Source organism: Homo sapiens, chromosome 15, assembly GCF_000001405.40.
Source record: "Homo sapiens chromosome 15, GRCh38.p14 Primary Assembly".
Taxonomy (NCBI): domain Eukaryota; kingdom Metazoa; phylum Chordata; class Mammalia; order Primates; family Hominidae; genus Homo; species Homo sapiens.
Window position 1 is genome coordinate 58626324 of NC_000015.10, and position 16432 is coordinate 58642755.

The following is a 16432-nucleotide window of genomic DNA, read 5'->3' on the forward strand; positions in this document are numbered from 1 at the left end:
AATAAAATTTCAATTAAAAACAAAATCCCATGCTTATCTGGAAATCTTCCTGAATTCTTTCTCCTTTGCTGTCACATGTTTAACCCCTCTTTCAGTGCTCTTAATGTACAAAGATGAATAGGCCTCAGTGTTTCCCCTAAAGAAACCTATGGTCTTGTGAAATAGGACAAGGACACACACACACAAAAAAACCCTAATACAAAGTAAATATTTAGAGTATGTTCAATGCCGCAAGAAAGACATAACAGATGACTGGAAGAACAAAATCTGGTCTATACATACAATGGAGTATTATTCAGCCGTGAAAAGGAATGGAACTCTGATACATGCTACAACACAGATAAACCTTGAAAATATTATGCTAAGTGAAATAAGCCAGGCACGAAAGAACAAATATTGTATGTCCCCACTTACATGAGATACCCAGAATAGGCCAATTCATAAAGACAGAAAGTGGATTAGAGGTTACCAGGGGCTGAGGGGAAGACAGAGCATTACTGCTTAATGGTTATAGAATTTCCATTGGGATGATGAAAAAGTTTGCAAATGAAGAGTGAATGTAATTGATTACATTCACATTCAACATTGTACCTATAATTAATGTCACAGAACTGTACATTTAAAATCAGTTTAAAATGGCACACTTTATGCTATATATATTTTACTAAAATAAGAAATAATTTCATAGTAACTTTATTCACATTAGCCCAAATCCAAGGTATTCATGATAGGAGAGTAGATGTACAAACTAGGACATATTCATACAACGTAATAGTACTCAGCAATAAAAAGGAGTATAATACTAAAGATGAATCTCAAAGCTGTATACTGAGTTAAACAGCCTTCCACAGAAGGGTATAAACTGTATACTTTCACTTATATGAAGACAAAGCCAATGTAGAGTGAAATAAATCAGATAGTGGTTGCCTCTGAGGGTGTGTTGGGACAGAGCCTGATTGGGAAGGGTGATAAAAGAAAGTTCCGGGGTGACAGAAATGTCCTGTATCTTGATAGGTAGTTTACAAAGGTAAATGCATCTGTCAAAACTCATCAAATGATGCACTTAAAATTTGTGCATTTCACTTATGCAGAAAACAGAAAAAGAACTATAAACAATATTGAACTCTAGTTAATGATTTGCAGACTAAAATGTTTAGGTGTGAAGTATACTGATGGCTGCAACTTACTTTAAATTGCAATAAAACATGAATTGAGAGATGGCAAGATTAAGAAATAACGAGATAAAGGGAATACAGCAAAGTGTTAGCAATAGTAAAATGCAGGTGGTGGGTATGTCAGTAATCACTATAGAATTCTTTCAAGTTGTCTGAATGTTTGAAAATGTTCATAACAAAACGTTAGGAAAATATACATACCAACAAAACAGTTGTTTCTCTTCTTCTCAAGAACTTGGCTTATATTTCTAATACTACAGAGTGAGAATTTATTGTTGTTAAGTTTGTCCCCAGATGTTGCTCTTGCATACATGATGTAATTGCCATTTTCTTTTTGACCCAAATTCTTAGATTCTCCTGGTGTGCACTCTGTTCCAGAATCATGCTGTCAAAAAGAATATAAAGTTACATAAACAGGAAGTAAAATAAGGTTTTCAGGTCAACTGATTAAACGTAATGTTCTCATCAGGAAAACAATGGAAGCTTGTGGACTCTCCTTTAAAAAGGATCTTACAATTGTTTTACACCTTGAGTAGGAAAAGAATTTGCTCTTTTAGGGGTCACTGTCTTAGAAAAGGAGGAAAATCAGTGGAGGTCTAGCCATAACAATTTATAGCTTTGTAAGCAGGGACTAGAATTGAGGACAGACTGTCATAAAAGTCTATTAAAAATAAGCTCACATACTTTTAAAACTAGTAACAGTAAAATAAACTACTTTAAAACTACTAAATAGTCTCTAACACATATGTTAAATTACATGTTATGAATAGTTCAGAGAAGACAGAGGTGGGGAAAGACAAAAGAATCAAGAGACTGACATGGGGCTAAATACACACAGAACAGGAATCTAAGACAGCTAACTTAATAGCCAATATATAGGAAAGGTAAGTAAAAATGCTGACTAGGAACAGAAACACAATGATATATTTTTAAATGAAAAATGGTAAAAGCCTAGAGATAAAACCAAAATACTGCTTTGCCAAATAAACAGAGTTCTGTGTACACGTAACATATAAATGCACATAAGTGGTGTTCGGTTTTGATAAATTTTATTGAAGAGTCAGATACATACAGCATAGCTCCCTGAATTTTCTCAAAGTAATGCTTATGAGACCAAGCAACAGAACACTACTACCAGATCCCAGCAGCCCCTACCATCCTGGGGATATGCACTAAAACAACCCTCACAATGCCCCTCAAACAATTCAGAACACATCAGAAGGGGCAAAAAACACTGGACACTAGAGTAATTGTGCTATTTAATTAAAATCTTGTTTTAAATACCCAACAACCCCACTCTCAAGAAAGAAAAAGACTGCCCAAGGACGTTCTGTTTTTTCCTAGAGCCCAACTAAGTTACTTTCATTTTCTATTCCCTCTTCTGAGGCAACTGTTAAATTAAAAAATGTGTCCTCTACTATCACCTTTATTCTTCCTGATACCTCTTGCCTTTCTTCTGAATCTAGATGCAGCATTTAGCAACTCTATACTATTCACCAATATTATCTTGCTTTATGTTTTCAACCTATAAAATTCAACTCAGTTTCTGAAAAAGGTGTAGCACTAGAATTATTCTCAGCATTAGAGTTTTAGAAAGGAAAGAAAAAAATCCCAATTCTGTATAACTCTTGATGTCATCACAGAATATCTTGCCACTTTTCAATTCAGTAAATATTAATGAATGTCCAGTGCTATAAAAGGAGGCACTAAAATATAAAAATATAAAGATGAGAAAAGTATTATCCCTAGCCTTCAAGGCACTTACCTTCTATTTTTAAATGATAGCAAATCTTGACATAACTGCTTAGTCTGACTTGCTGCTGCATAAATCCATTACAGATATTGCTAGTCAATTATTATTTTACTAGGCCAGGAGATATTACAATAGATCACCATTAACAGGAATAGAAGGGGAAACAGGTTGTAAGCAAGCATGCCAGCTATTTGCCATCCTCAGATAACGAATAAAACAAGCACATGAATAAGCAAAACACAAAACAGAACATAAAGGCCATCTTGACTGGACTCGCACAAGTATTCAGAGTTCAAATCAAGAGAAGCGTTTCACTAAGAAACTATAATCTTTGTGACAAGAAAACAGAAAAATTTGTCTAACTATAAGAAAGAAAATTAAGAAAACAAAAATGCATAAATAAAAATTCAATCATAATCTACCATGCACTATAACTATTAAAATTTTGATCTATTTCCTATCTGACTTATATCTAGCTGTATCACATTTTAATTTAAAATTTGGACTATACCATGTGTACAGTTATAACTTTTTTTTTTGAGACAGAGTCTCACTCTGTCCCCCAGGCTGGAGTGTAGTGGCGTGATCCTGGCTCACTGCAACCTTGGACTCAAGTCATCCTCCCCGACCTTAGCTTCTCGAGTAGCTGGGACTACAGGTGCAGTCCAGCACACCCAGCTAATTGTTTTTGTGTGTATTTTTGGTAGAGACGGGGTTTCGCCATGTTGCCCAGGCTGGTCTCGAACTCCTGGGCTCAAGCAATCTGCCCACCTCGGCCTCCCAAAGTGCTGGGATTACAGGTGTGAGTCACCACAGCTACCCTCCATGTGTACAGTTATACACACCTTTCTTTCAGCTTAACAGTATAAAATGAGCACTGCAAAACTTGGTATTTAAATGACTGCAGAGCATTCCGTGGTATTTTCATACTGTAGGGCCATCTAGGCTGCTTAAAACTTTTTGGTATTATAAATAAAACTATGATGGTCATATTTTCTTAATTTTTATTAAGGGCCATATTCATTTACATCATATAACAACACGGATCAAGATTTCAACAGGCAGACATGGGAAGGAACTGACTTCCTAGCGGAGGAAAGTTTTAAAGGTCTGTGAATTAATTTGACAGATGAGGAGAGATAACACTAGAAATATACTTAAACCCCAAATTATCAAACACCCCAAACATTAAGATAAGGAAATTGTATCAGCAATATTAGAAAGTAGTAGAAGTGAGTTAGTAAGCAGAAGTGGCATTATTAGAACTGTATTTACATGAAGGTGAATCTGGTGAGAGTAGGTACATATTAGAATTTTCACCCTGAGAGACAGGAACTTTGTCTCATTTATGATTACAACTTCCTACAACAAAGTTTATAAAGCAGTTTATAATAGGTGCACAATAAATATTTCAGATAGGATAAATACATTTAAGAAATAATGTGAACCACTCAGAAAAAGTAACATTGACATTACTACAAACGTATAAGAGAGAAAGAGATTTCAGATAAAGATGTTAAGGGAGACAGGTTCAGGTGTTTATGATTCTGGCTGATCTTACTATTAAATTACTCAACAAATATTTATTAAGCATTGTATAATTTGGATGTCTGTCCCCCCAAATTTGATCCCAAAGTTGTTAGTGGGCCTAACAAGAGAGGTCTGGGTCATGGGGGCAGATCCCTCATCAATAGATTAATGCTCTTCCTGAAGGGTTGGAGGTGGGTGGGTGAGTGCATTCTCACTCTCTTAGTTTCTGCAAGAGCTGGCTGTTAAGAGCCTAGTACCTCCTCTCTCCTTGACCCCACGCTCCCACCACCTCCACTCCCACCATGTGATCTCTGCACATGCCAGCACCTGTTGCCCTCCATCATAAGTGGAAGCAGCCTGAGGCCCTTACCAGAAGCTGAGTAGATGCCAGCACCATGCTTTTTGTACAGCCTACAGAATCATGAGCCAAATAAACCTCTTTTCTTTATAAATTACCCACCCTCAGATATTCCCTTATAACAACACAAAACAGATGAAGACAACCATCTACTACGGATACAGATGGCAGAATTAACAACATGTGCAAAAGAATGGGGTACGATTGAGCGTGGTAGGCAAAGAGTGTGAACCAATTTCTCCATTAAACAATAATATAACATTAATTGAATAAAAACATCTCACTGGCAGCTAGGTAGGAAAGAGATTACACAAGAAGTGAAAAGAGAATGGTCTAGATTCCCTACTGCAGTGTGGTTCACAGATGAGCACCAGCAGCAGCAGCAGCAGCATTATGTGGGAGTATGTTAGAAATACAGAAACTCAGGCCCCATCAAAGACCTACTAAAAAAGAATCTGTGTTTTAAGATTCTCAGGTGATGTATATGCACATAAAAATGAGTGACCTGGGACTAAAGGCCAGACAAGTAGCTGGAGGAGTACTAAAATTCCCCTGGTAAGGCCTGGAACCAAGATGACTTGGGGAGAAGAGAGGACACTTATCTGCTCTTGAAAATGCAAATCAACTATGAACAATAATTCTCTGCTCATCTCTAAAATTCCAAGTACTCTTTTAAGAGAAGATCACAAAAGCAGTCAAGAGTTACAGAGATTAAGCACATTTTAAATACCTTATCCAAGAACATTAATAATAATCTATCAATTTCTGATTGGGATGTAGAAGAAGAAAGACTTGCAACTTAGTGAGATGGCACCTATTTTACAAACATGGGAAAAATTAGAGAAGTGCATTTGGGGATTTTAAGCTACAAGTAGACAACTTATTTTTAAAATCATAAAAATTTGCACTTTTGCAAGTGATAAGGTGAAAGTAAAATGAATTTACATACAGTTTTCAAGTGTACATTTTCAAAATGTTATCTTTAATAAGCTCTACCAAAATCACAAAGACAGAGTATCATTCAGTATTTCATATTTCTGTGTTGTACTGATCTTTAAGGTCACTTAAAAGATCAATATAATGGACTGGATATTAGATAATATCAAAGATCGCTGTTAATTTTGTTAGGTGTAATAACCACATTGTAGTTGTATTAGAAAATGTCTATTTTTTCAGGAATGTGTACTGAAATACGTAAGGATAGATAGAGTTCCTTTAAATACCTTAGCAAAGAAAAAGAAATACAGATAGAAGATATGTCAAAATCTTCACAATTATTGGCTCTGAATTAGGGGTTGACAAAGTAGCCAGCAGCCTGTTTTTATATGGCTTAACTAAGAATGGCTTTTCCATATTTAACAAATTGTAAAAGCAACAAAGACTGTACAACAGAAACCAAACACTGCCCCTGAAGCCTAAAATGTTTACTAGTAGGCCCTTTACAGAAAATGTTTGCTGATCCCTGTTCTGAATCATGGGCGTATAACGCTTTGTTGCACTATTTGTTCTACTTTTGTGTATGTTAGAATTTTTTCCTAATAAAAGATTTTAAAATATCAATCTCATTCCACGGTAGAGAAAATACTTTAAATTATCAATCTCATTCCACAGTAGAGAAAAGATTTTAAAATATCAATCTCATTCCCTAAAAATGCTTTAACAGAAACAAAACAAAAAAAGAATTTCTCACAATTTGCTGAACATTCAAAATGTACTTTTAAACAATGAATAATGATTCTCATTCAAAAGATATTTGAGTACATTATGTACTAGGCATTGTTCTAGGGCCAGGAGATATAGATATTTTGTCTGAATAAGCCAGATGAAATCCCTTGCCTTCACAGAATTCTAGCACTGTTATGCTTACTTTTCTTACTTTAACCACAAACATTCTATCTTCCTCCCTTTCAGTATGGTCAAATACATTACTGTGCTCTGACATAAAAACTAAACACTCGTAAGTACATTTGTTTTCACGGTGAATTTTAAATAAATCACTCAACATAAAAATTAGACTAATAAGTATTTTTTAAGCTAATAATTAGACAATACTTACTGGGGATCCAAAGTTATGTCCAACTTCGTGAGCAAAAGTAATGTGAGAGACTTTGGGAGGTACATGAGACCCATAGTTCTGAACAGTAATAATTCCAGTGTTTAAGGACTTCTTCTTACCATCTGAATAGAGTTTACTTTTTTCACATATTCCTCCAGAGCTTCCTAATCCAGAACAAAAAAATGGCTAAATTAGTATCTGTTTCCCCTTACCCCCAAAAAGGTAATACATGCTATATTAAATGAAAACATTTTATATTTTAATCTAAAATAGAACTGGTACTCAAACGTATCACATATGCAAAAGTTTCTTTGGTCCAAGACTAAGAAGTCACTTCATATAAAAGTTTTAATGACATTCAGAAAGAAACTCCCAGGACTGAGTACACAGCCTTTACAAAATGTTCTTCACAATCAAAATGTCCCCCAAATGTTATTCCCATTAATTTAGGAAAACAAATATTTACATTTCCTTTCAATTTGAATATATCAGTATTTACACTAAGTCAAAGTGTACATCCTTTCATCTTTTAAAAAGAAATCTTATGATTTAAGTTAAATGAAAGTTGAACAAAATATCCTCAAGAAGATTCTGAGAAAGTCACTTCTACAAGAAGCAGTGAGGCACATGAGCACATGATTCCCTGTCCTGAGATATGACATACAATGTATTTGTAAAAATAGAAAATAATCATGTCAAGAAGGTTAAAAAAAAAAAAAAAGAGGGGGTAGAGGAAAGAAGGAAAAAGAGAAGATGGGTGGGAAGGAAGGGAGAGATAGAAAGCAAATGCGACAAAAGGTTAATAATTGATTAATCCATCAAGAATTCACCACTGCTGAGCGCAGTGGCTCACGCCTGTAATCCCAGCACTTTGGGAGGCCGAGGCAGGCAGATCACTTGAGGTCAGGAGTTTGAGACCAGCCTGGCCAACATGGTGAAACCCCATCTCTACTAAAAATACAAAAATTAGCTGGGTGTGGTGGTGCACACCTGTAATCCCAGCTACTCGGGCAGGAGAATTGCCTGAACCCAGGAGGTGGAAGTTGCAATGAGTTGAGATTGTGCCACTGCACTCCAGCCTGGGCGACACAGTGACACTCTGTCTAAAAAAAAAAAAAAGAAGAAGAATTTCACCATACTATTCTTGCAACCTTTCCGCAGGTTTGAAATCTTCAAAAAAAAATTAAAAACTGAATTATGATTGTTCCAGTATGTCTTTAGGACACTATCAAATTTTAAAAGAAAAACCATATTTCCACTTAAATATTTTTATCATTTTGTACTTCATCTATTCATTAACAGGGACTTTAGAATTTAACAGCAAATGACAGTGCTTTCACAGCTAAAATCAATTAAGAGAAATCAGAAAAATAATAATAGGAAAATCAGAAACCATCTGGTCAATTCATGCCTTTATATAGACATTACACTGGTAAGATCATATTTTCTTTTAATTAACTTTATTATAAGATTTTCAGTGAGAAGTTATTTAGTTTATATTTATACTTAAAGTTTTCCCTATTTGATTTTTAAAAGAAATACAATCAAATGGATAAGCGTATTACGATAACTGCTCTAATTAGCTTTCTATAGACAAGTTACAACAAAGTTACTAAACCATTTAAAAAAAGTCTAATATTGCTTCTCCTCCCCTTCCCATTCTCCCCACTTCAAAAACAAGTCTAGTATTTAGAATCCCTAATAAAGCATGTAACAGAAGGCAATTCAAAATAGGTCTGCAAGAACAGCATTATACTACGACTGTTGCCTTGCTCCCATTAAATATAATAAATATATGGCAACAAAATACAAATTTGAATTACTGTTAAAATTCAGAAAGCTGAAAAGAAAAATGTGTTTCAAAGAAACACAAGGTCAGGAGATTGAGAACATCTCGGTGAAACCCCATCTCTGCTAAAAATACAAAAAATTAGCAGGGCATGGTGGCAGGTGCCTGTAGCCCCAGCTACTCGGGAGGCTGAGGCAGGAGAATGGCGTGAACCCAGGAAGTGGAGCTTGCAGTGAGCAGAGATCATGCCACTGCACTCCAGCCTGGGTGACAGAGCAAGACTCTGTCTCAAAAAAAAAAAAAAAAAAAGAAAGAAAGAAAGAAAATACAAATAACATGCCCCACCATTTTCAATCCAGAACTCTGCCCACCTCAGGTGATGTATATGCACATTAAAATGAGTGACCTGAGACTATAGGCCGGACAAATAGCTGGAGTCACATGCAAATTTAACCCAGCAAGGGGTTGAGAACTTTTATGATATTCAAAATTTAATACCTTTTCTACACTGACAACTGAGTAGAGAGAAAATACCAAATAATTTGTGAGAATTTAATATATTTTCTTCAAGCTAGTTCTACTTTTGGAGCTCAGTCCTGAGAAGCACATCATTATTTCTGGAAACCAGAAAATATATAAATAAGTATTCTGTATATAATAATTATTGTACACACAGCATAGTTTTAAACAAATAGTAAATTAATATCCTGCCTTAGTGAAGATTTGTCATGTGCAAATTGGTCCAATGCAGTACTGTCAAACTTGAATTAAGCATAGAAGACTCCACACTTCAAATCTTTATCAGTTAAAAAAAAAAAAAGTAAATAGGCATATTTTTAAATCTCTGATAATATACATTTTTCTGCACTTTTAGGGTCTGGCTAATTTAAGAGAAGAGTATACATAAATTAGAATATACTATTCTGAAATATAGTAATTTATATATTGCCTAACTTCTTAAACAACTGCTTTTGGTCTTTATGATTATCGCTTATATGAAAGTTTAAAATGGCCGGGCGCAGTGGCTCACGTCTGTAATCCCAACACTTTGGGTGGCGGCGGCAGGCGGATCACCTGAGATCAGGAGTTGGAGACCAGCATAACCAACATGTTGAAACCTCATCTTTACTAAAATTACAAAAATTAGCCAGGCGAGGTGGTGCATGCATGTAATCCCAGCTACTCAGGAGGCTGAGGCAGGGGAATCATTTGAACCCAGGAGGCGGGGGTTGCCATGAGCAGAGATCATGCCACTGCACTCCAGCCTGAGCAACAGAGCGAGACTTCGTTTCAAAAAAAAAAAAAAAGGAAGTTTAATATTTGTTGCAGGCTAATAGCATATGTTGGAGTAACTTGATTATACAGGAAGAAATAAAATACTATTTGTAACTCTGAAAGTTATGGTTTAATTTTTTTAAATACTGCAACTAGTTTTGATATGCCAGAAAACTCAGTAATGAGGTATCATATATACCCACAGCTAAACCATTAACTCAAACTCAATTGCTATATATTTTAAATTTAAGATTTTACTATACATATATTTATCACTGACAAATACATAAGTTGTGAATAACAATGAGAAGGGTGAAACGTTTTCAATTCGGGTCAAAAGTAATTATTGATGAAGGATTCAATAAGCAACAAAGAAGTATAATGACAATTTTCTATCTACAGGATAGTTTGAGAGCTAAAGTTAGAGTATCTGTCCTAAACTTCAAAACAGACCCACTCCACCCCACCCCCCAAAAAAAAGTCTTAGAAAAAAATACAAGAGTAATATGATACCTTGACATATTCCATAAATACAGTTTTGATGTGAGGAGGCCAAAAATTAATAGTAGCATGCTGATCATACAATATTAATGTAAGCAATAATTCTGGACCAGACCATAGTAATACTCCCACAAGTGATACCAGGAAATGTGAGAGCACAGGCATTTGGCTTTCAAGTCTGGAGAGCACTACTCACATGCAATGGGTAGGGATCAAAGATGTTAAATATCCAAGGGATCCAGACAAGCATTAAATGCCAATAGCAAGTGTCCTATTGCAATATTTCAATGATGTAATTTTCCCAGCATTTGAAGTTATACTTTTAAACTATGGGTTAAGAATTCAATAAGCTGTGGGTTATCCCGAGAACCCTGTGTTAAGTTCTGTACGCTCTCAAATTTTAATATGTAATATCAAACTAAAACATCTAATCTAAAGAAAACAGAAGAGACTATTTCTACCAAATGAAATGCCTCAAAAGATGTTCTTCACAAATAGAGGAGTACTGAAGGTTTCAGGACTAACTGTAGAGATGAATTCCAAAGCCAGCCTCATTCAACGACCAAGCCGAACTGAGACTATGTTCATTCAGTTAACTGATAAGACCTATAGGTAGAAACATGAAGACTCAAAAGAAGGGCAAAGACAGAACTACAATGAAAAAACAGCCAGAAGCAAAATGATTTTCCTGAATTTACAGACAGAAAACACACAAGAATCCTGTCTCCCAGCTCTCAGTCCATTGCTCTTCCCATTATGCCATGACAATTACCCAAAATTATATCAAAATATTATAGCTTAGTATGATTTTATAACTCTTCTCTCTCAAGAAAGAAGAAAACAGATTCCACCAATGTATAACCTCTACTAAGAAGCAGAAAACATTTCAGCTTCTTATTTGAAACATCAAAGAAAAGGCTAAGATGTTACTGTGTGTGTGTGTGTAGATTGTATTTATATATATATAAAATACCTAGTAATATAATTACCAAATGAACTGAATCTGGAGTCAAAAGGTCCAGATTCCAGATCCTGTTCCACCTCTAGCTGTGTGGTATTAGGTTGGTCACAAAGTTTCTGAACACAAGTTTCCTCATCTGTAGAAGGGAGACAATAATACCTACACCTCATAAGGGTATTGAAATAATCAAGAATAAATATATAACATTCCTTGTTTTAAAAAAAAAAATGTCAAATATGAAACTCAGTTCAGCTAGTAGTAAGTGCAAAGACAAGTGAAGAAGCTGGCAGTGTTATTTCAAGGCAGGTAACCTACACTCGAAAAAGTTGGACCAAAGGAACAAAGATCCCTTTTCTTTCCCACTATGGCCTCTATTCTTCTGTGCCTGCCTAGCCCCTCCCCAGCAGCTCTTAGAAGATGGCTTCCAAGAGCTGAAGTTGGGGGTTTAACATAGAGTAATGGAAGCGGACATCTAATGTCTGAAAGAAAGAGAGATAATAATATAAAAGGAAAAAAAGCAGAGGGGGGGAAAATGGGGATACAAAGTTGACAACGGGAGTCTTCGTTTTCTATTCTGGTTGCCAATCACCATATTTTTGCTCATGAAGTACACAGGAAGTATCTTGTTTCACCTTTAAGAAGACCCTAATAATGAAAATAGAGGCGGGCGGATCACGAGGTCAGGAGATTGAGACCATCCTGGCTAACACGGTGAAACCCCATCTCCACTAAAAATATAAAAAATTAGCCACGCATGGTGGCGGGCGCCTGTAGACCCAGCTACTCGGGAGGCTGAGGCAGGAGAATGGCGTGAACCCGGGAGGTGGAGGTTGCAGTGAGCGGAGATCGCGCCACTGCACTCCAGCCTGGGTGACAGAGCAACACTCTGTCTCAAAAAAAAAAAAAAAAAAAAAGAAAATACAAGTAACATGCCCCACCATTTTCAATCCAGAACTCTCCCCACCTCAGGAAAATGAGCAGCATCACAAATGGTGATCCAAATATCACAAACAATGAGACATAAACACTGAGTGTCCCAAAAACCCATAACTACAGTTTAATCATAAGGAAAACATCAGACAGATTCCAAATAGGGGAGCATTCTAAAATATACCTCATCAGTACTCCTCAAAACTGTCAGGGGAGGGAGGAAGGAGATTTGAGAATACCTAATCTGTTCAATTTTTTGTAAATCTAAAACTGCTCTAAAAAATAAAGCTTACTTTTTACAACAAAATGAGTAGCTGAATCTAAAGACATGAGAATATCTGAAGATTTAGGAAGAATTTTACCAAATTCCTACAGAATCATTACATCCTTAAGTACAATAGTCTGTAACTGAAAATGCAAAATGGCAGAAAGTTTTTAGTTTAAGATCACATACTCACTTACCCAGGAGGCATTTTGTGAGCAAGCTTTAGAGACAAAAATATTAATGTGGTGCTTCTCAAACTTCACTGTGCATCAGAATCACTTTGAGAACTTGTTCAAACTAAGACTGTTGGGCTCCACATCTATAGTTTCTGATTCAAGAGACCGGGGTAGTGCCTATGAACTTATATTTCTAACAAGTTCCTAGGTGATGCTGATGGTGCTAGTCCATGGATCACACTTGGAGAACCACTTGTTTGAGACTTCACAGCTACTGTATTAATGGATAATATACAAATAAAATCATATGAGACCCTGAGTTTTTAGTAGTACTTACTAATGAATAGGGAGAAGAAATCACAGACTTTGTGATAAAATCATCCAACCATTGAAGGGGCAAAGAGGTTTCAGAGTATGAAAGTTTCGAACATGAAAAATCATAGGAAAGAGTGAGCTGTACAATCTGCTGACTAATCCAAGTAACAAAAAAGTACAGATTATCATAAAAGACAAATATCCAAAAGTACTGCACTATTAATATGCAGCCCATGACATAAACTTATACTTTAAAATGACATCATGAAATTGAGTACATTTTAAAACATAGAAGAAAAACAAAAGAAGCTATGGAAATTGTAAAAGTATTGACTTAAGATACTGACTTTTAAAAAAGGAGAAAGAAATACAAAGGAAAATACAGCACTACTTAAGATCTTAAAATATACAAAACAAATCAAAGAATAAACTAATAAGAATAGGAATACAAAAGCTTCTCTTACTCTGGATAAAGCAGAAGTTTTTTTTAAAAAAAAAAACATAGAAATGAAGTATCAGAAGGAGAATCTGTTGTATATAGCTCAGAAGATAATATACTATTGATTAAACTCTACTTGGCACAATTTATATTCAAAGAGCCTGGGGTCCTTTCCACTCATCTTTCAATTAATAAATTTGGATTTCTAAACTAGGCAACTGAACTTATACAGTAAATCACAGCTCCTCCACAACACTCCACCCCCACTGTAATGGGAAGGGTATTGTCCCATCCCAACATTATCAATGACAATAGCTTTCATGGCTAAGGCAGAGACTCGGCAGAGTATGAACCCAGGTGATGATGTCAATGGAGTTGTGGGTACCAGGGGCTTCCTGCCTACATCTCTTTCATGCAGTGCTTCCCTTTTATTAAAATAAAGGCTAGAAATAAAATAATAAAGGCAGGCTTTCTTTTCCTTTTACCTGCCACTCTTGATGAGGATTTCTCTCCTCTTTATCTCACTACAGAAGAGAGAGCAAGACACAGTTTTCCTCTTTTGATTCTAAGTACCCTATTTTGGAGGGGAAAAAAGTTAATAAATATATAACATTTATTAACTTTTGTGGAAAAATTAAATTTCCCTTTGGGTTTCAGAATTACCACTTTTTCTCATAAAATTATTTATTTCATTTGGTCCATTCAAATGTCAGGAATCAGGATATTTCCCTGTATGCGTTTCAAAATAAAAAGCTCCTTCATCTATTGTGGCTTTTACATTATGCTTATGAGTCTTGCCTAACTCAAGTAGCATAAATTAGGATATTATACAGGCATCACTTTCTCCTATACTTTGAAAATTCAACATTCTCTGAAAACTCCCCTTTGTTTCAAGTAGTAAGTTAAGACATATTTAATATGATAAACTACCTGAAGGTGCTCCAACCCAAGCCAGACCAAGTACGCCATCATCAAAATCTCGGTCTGTGAAGACATAGGCCAAACAGTAGTCATCATGATTCTGCTCAGAATTCAATTCCAGAAACTTCTCCACACCAATATTTGGGAAACGGAAAGGATTTGTAGGGTCCTTCTCATCAGCAGTTGTATTGATCTAAAATCCAAAACAATAATTTAGTAAGTAATTAATGTTAGCAGAGCTTTAGTGTGAATGTCTGCTCACCTTCTTCTGCGTACACCTGGACAATATGCTCCCATGGAAATCAGGCCTGAATTAAGGCTTCTAAGGTTGTTCCCACTGCCCACATCCCTGAGCTGATCACAGAAGGCAAAACAATAACAACAAATAAAAAAGAAAGGCTAGGTAGGGAAATTAAAATTGAAGATGTTAAATTTCTGAGCAAGTATTCACCAGATTCCTGAACACTGAACACTTGGGAAGAAAAAACAAGTTTTGCTTTCAAAACCTTTAGTAAAGGAAGTATAGTTTTTCAAATTTAATTCTCTGAACAAGTCTCCTTTAGTCCTAATCTCCTACATATGGTGACACTTACAAGGATATAAAACCCTGTATTTTAACTAATTACTAGAATATAAAATAGGTATCAAACCCAAGACTGTCAGTTCAGCAGACAAATCATTTTCCTGGTTTTCCTTGCCTAGAGAGTCACATGAGCCAAGCCAAACTAACTGCAAATTTATTTTTTTTTCCTGAATGTGGGCAAGAATTTTGCTAATTTAAACTCACTTCTTTTACTCTTTGAAGCTGAGTTCTTCCAGAATGTTTCTTTTGATACTTAGCTACTATACTCCTACCACAGGTTCCTCCTTCAGAATCTGAATAATCTGTTCTAATACCAGACTTCTATTAAACAAAAGCTTTTATTTATTAGCCCCTGCATCCTTTCAGAGACCTGTGTGTCTCCTCTGAAGTCCTAGAACGATTTGGCTTTCCCCAGGTAAGCCAAGGAATTACAATATGAAAGTAAATGTTTTTACCGAAAGGCAAACCTCAGTCTGTTTGAAAATGTTGGCAGTAAGAGGATGACATAATGGTTGATACAACAAGAGCTACAGGTCTCTTTATGACCTGTACTCTCCAGTAAAACCAAGAGGCTCAGAAGCAGGGAGGCAAAAACACCATTGAGGGCAACTGCTTAAGAACAGATTTCAGAACATCTGGTTTATCTATTAACAATTAACGAAAAACAATCAGTTACGGCCATTTAACACTAAAACAATTCAAAAGCAAGCACACTGTATGTTACAGATAGTCCATGCTTGAAGACATGCTGTAGATGGCTTTCTCCCACTAAATATAAAAATGAAATTTCCTAGTAATTCTCTAATACTGGCTATAAATAAAAATTGCATGTAAGGCCCGTCACAGTGGCTCACGCCTGTAATCCCAGCACTTTGGGAGGCCGAGGCGGGTGATCACCTGAGGTCAGGAGTTCAAGACCAGCCTGGCCAACATGGTGAAACCCTGTATCTACAAAAATACAAAAATTAGCCGGGCATGACAGTGGACGCCTGTAATCCCAGCTACTCGGGAGGCTGAGGTGGGAGAATCGCTTGAAACTGGAAGGCAGAGGCTGCAGTGAGCCGAGATTGCGCCACTGAACTCCAGCCTGGGCGACAGAGTGAGACTCCTTCTCAAAAAAAAAAAACAAATTGCATTTAAATTTTAATTACCTATATTTAAATGGATTATTAATATAGCTGACAGAAATTTTAAATTAATAGGTTATGAACAATCTTCAACAGATAAAACTTTACTAAAGTTTTAATAAGAGGTAAGGTCTAAAAACAACCAACTACCACATCATTTACTTATATACATGCATTTCTTCATAATACATATCATTTTCCTCAAAGGTGCGTCACTAAAATGTGTTCAGGTGCTCTCTACTTTTCATTACTTGCATTTTATTGCTCTGCCTACTAAA

General features: G+C 35.8%; 1 protein-coding gene across 2 annotated transcripts in view; it reads right to left on the reverse strand.

The window, feature by feature from the left end:
* ADAM10 (ADAM metallopeptidase domain 10) overlaps positions 1-16432 on the reverse strand; it is a 160899-nt gene that overhangs the window by 37515 nt on the left and 106952 nt on the right. For both annotated transcript variants that reach the window (NM_001320570.2, NM_001110.4), the window contains 3 exons: positions 14454-14637; positions 6873-7036; positions 1377-1560 (listed from right to left, as the gene is read on the reverse strand). In NM_001320570.2, coding sequence (NP_001307499.1) covers positions 1377-1560; positions 6873-7036; positions 14454-14637 — 532 coding nt within the window. The remainder of the gene's footprint in view (positions 1-1376; positions 1561-6872; positions 7037-14453; positions 14638-16432) is intronic.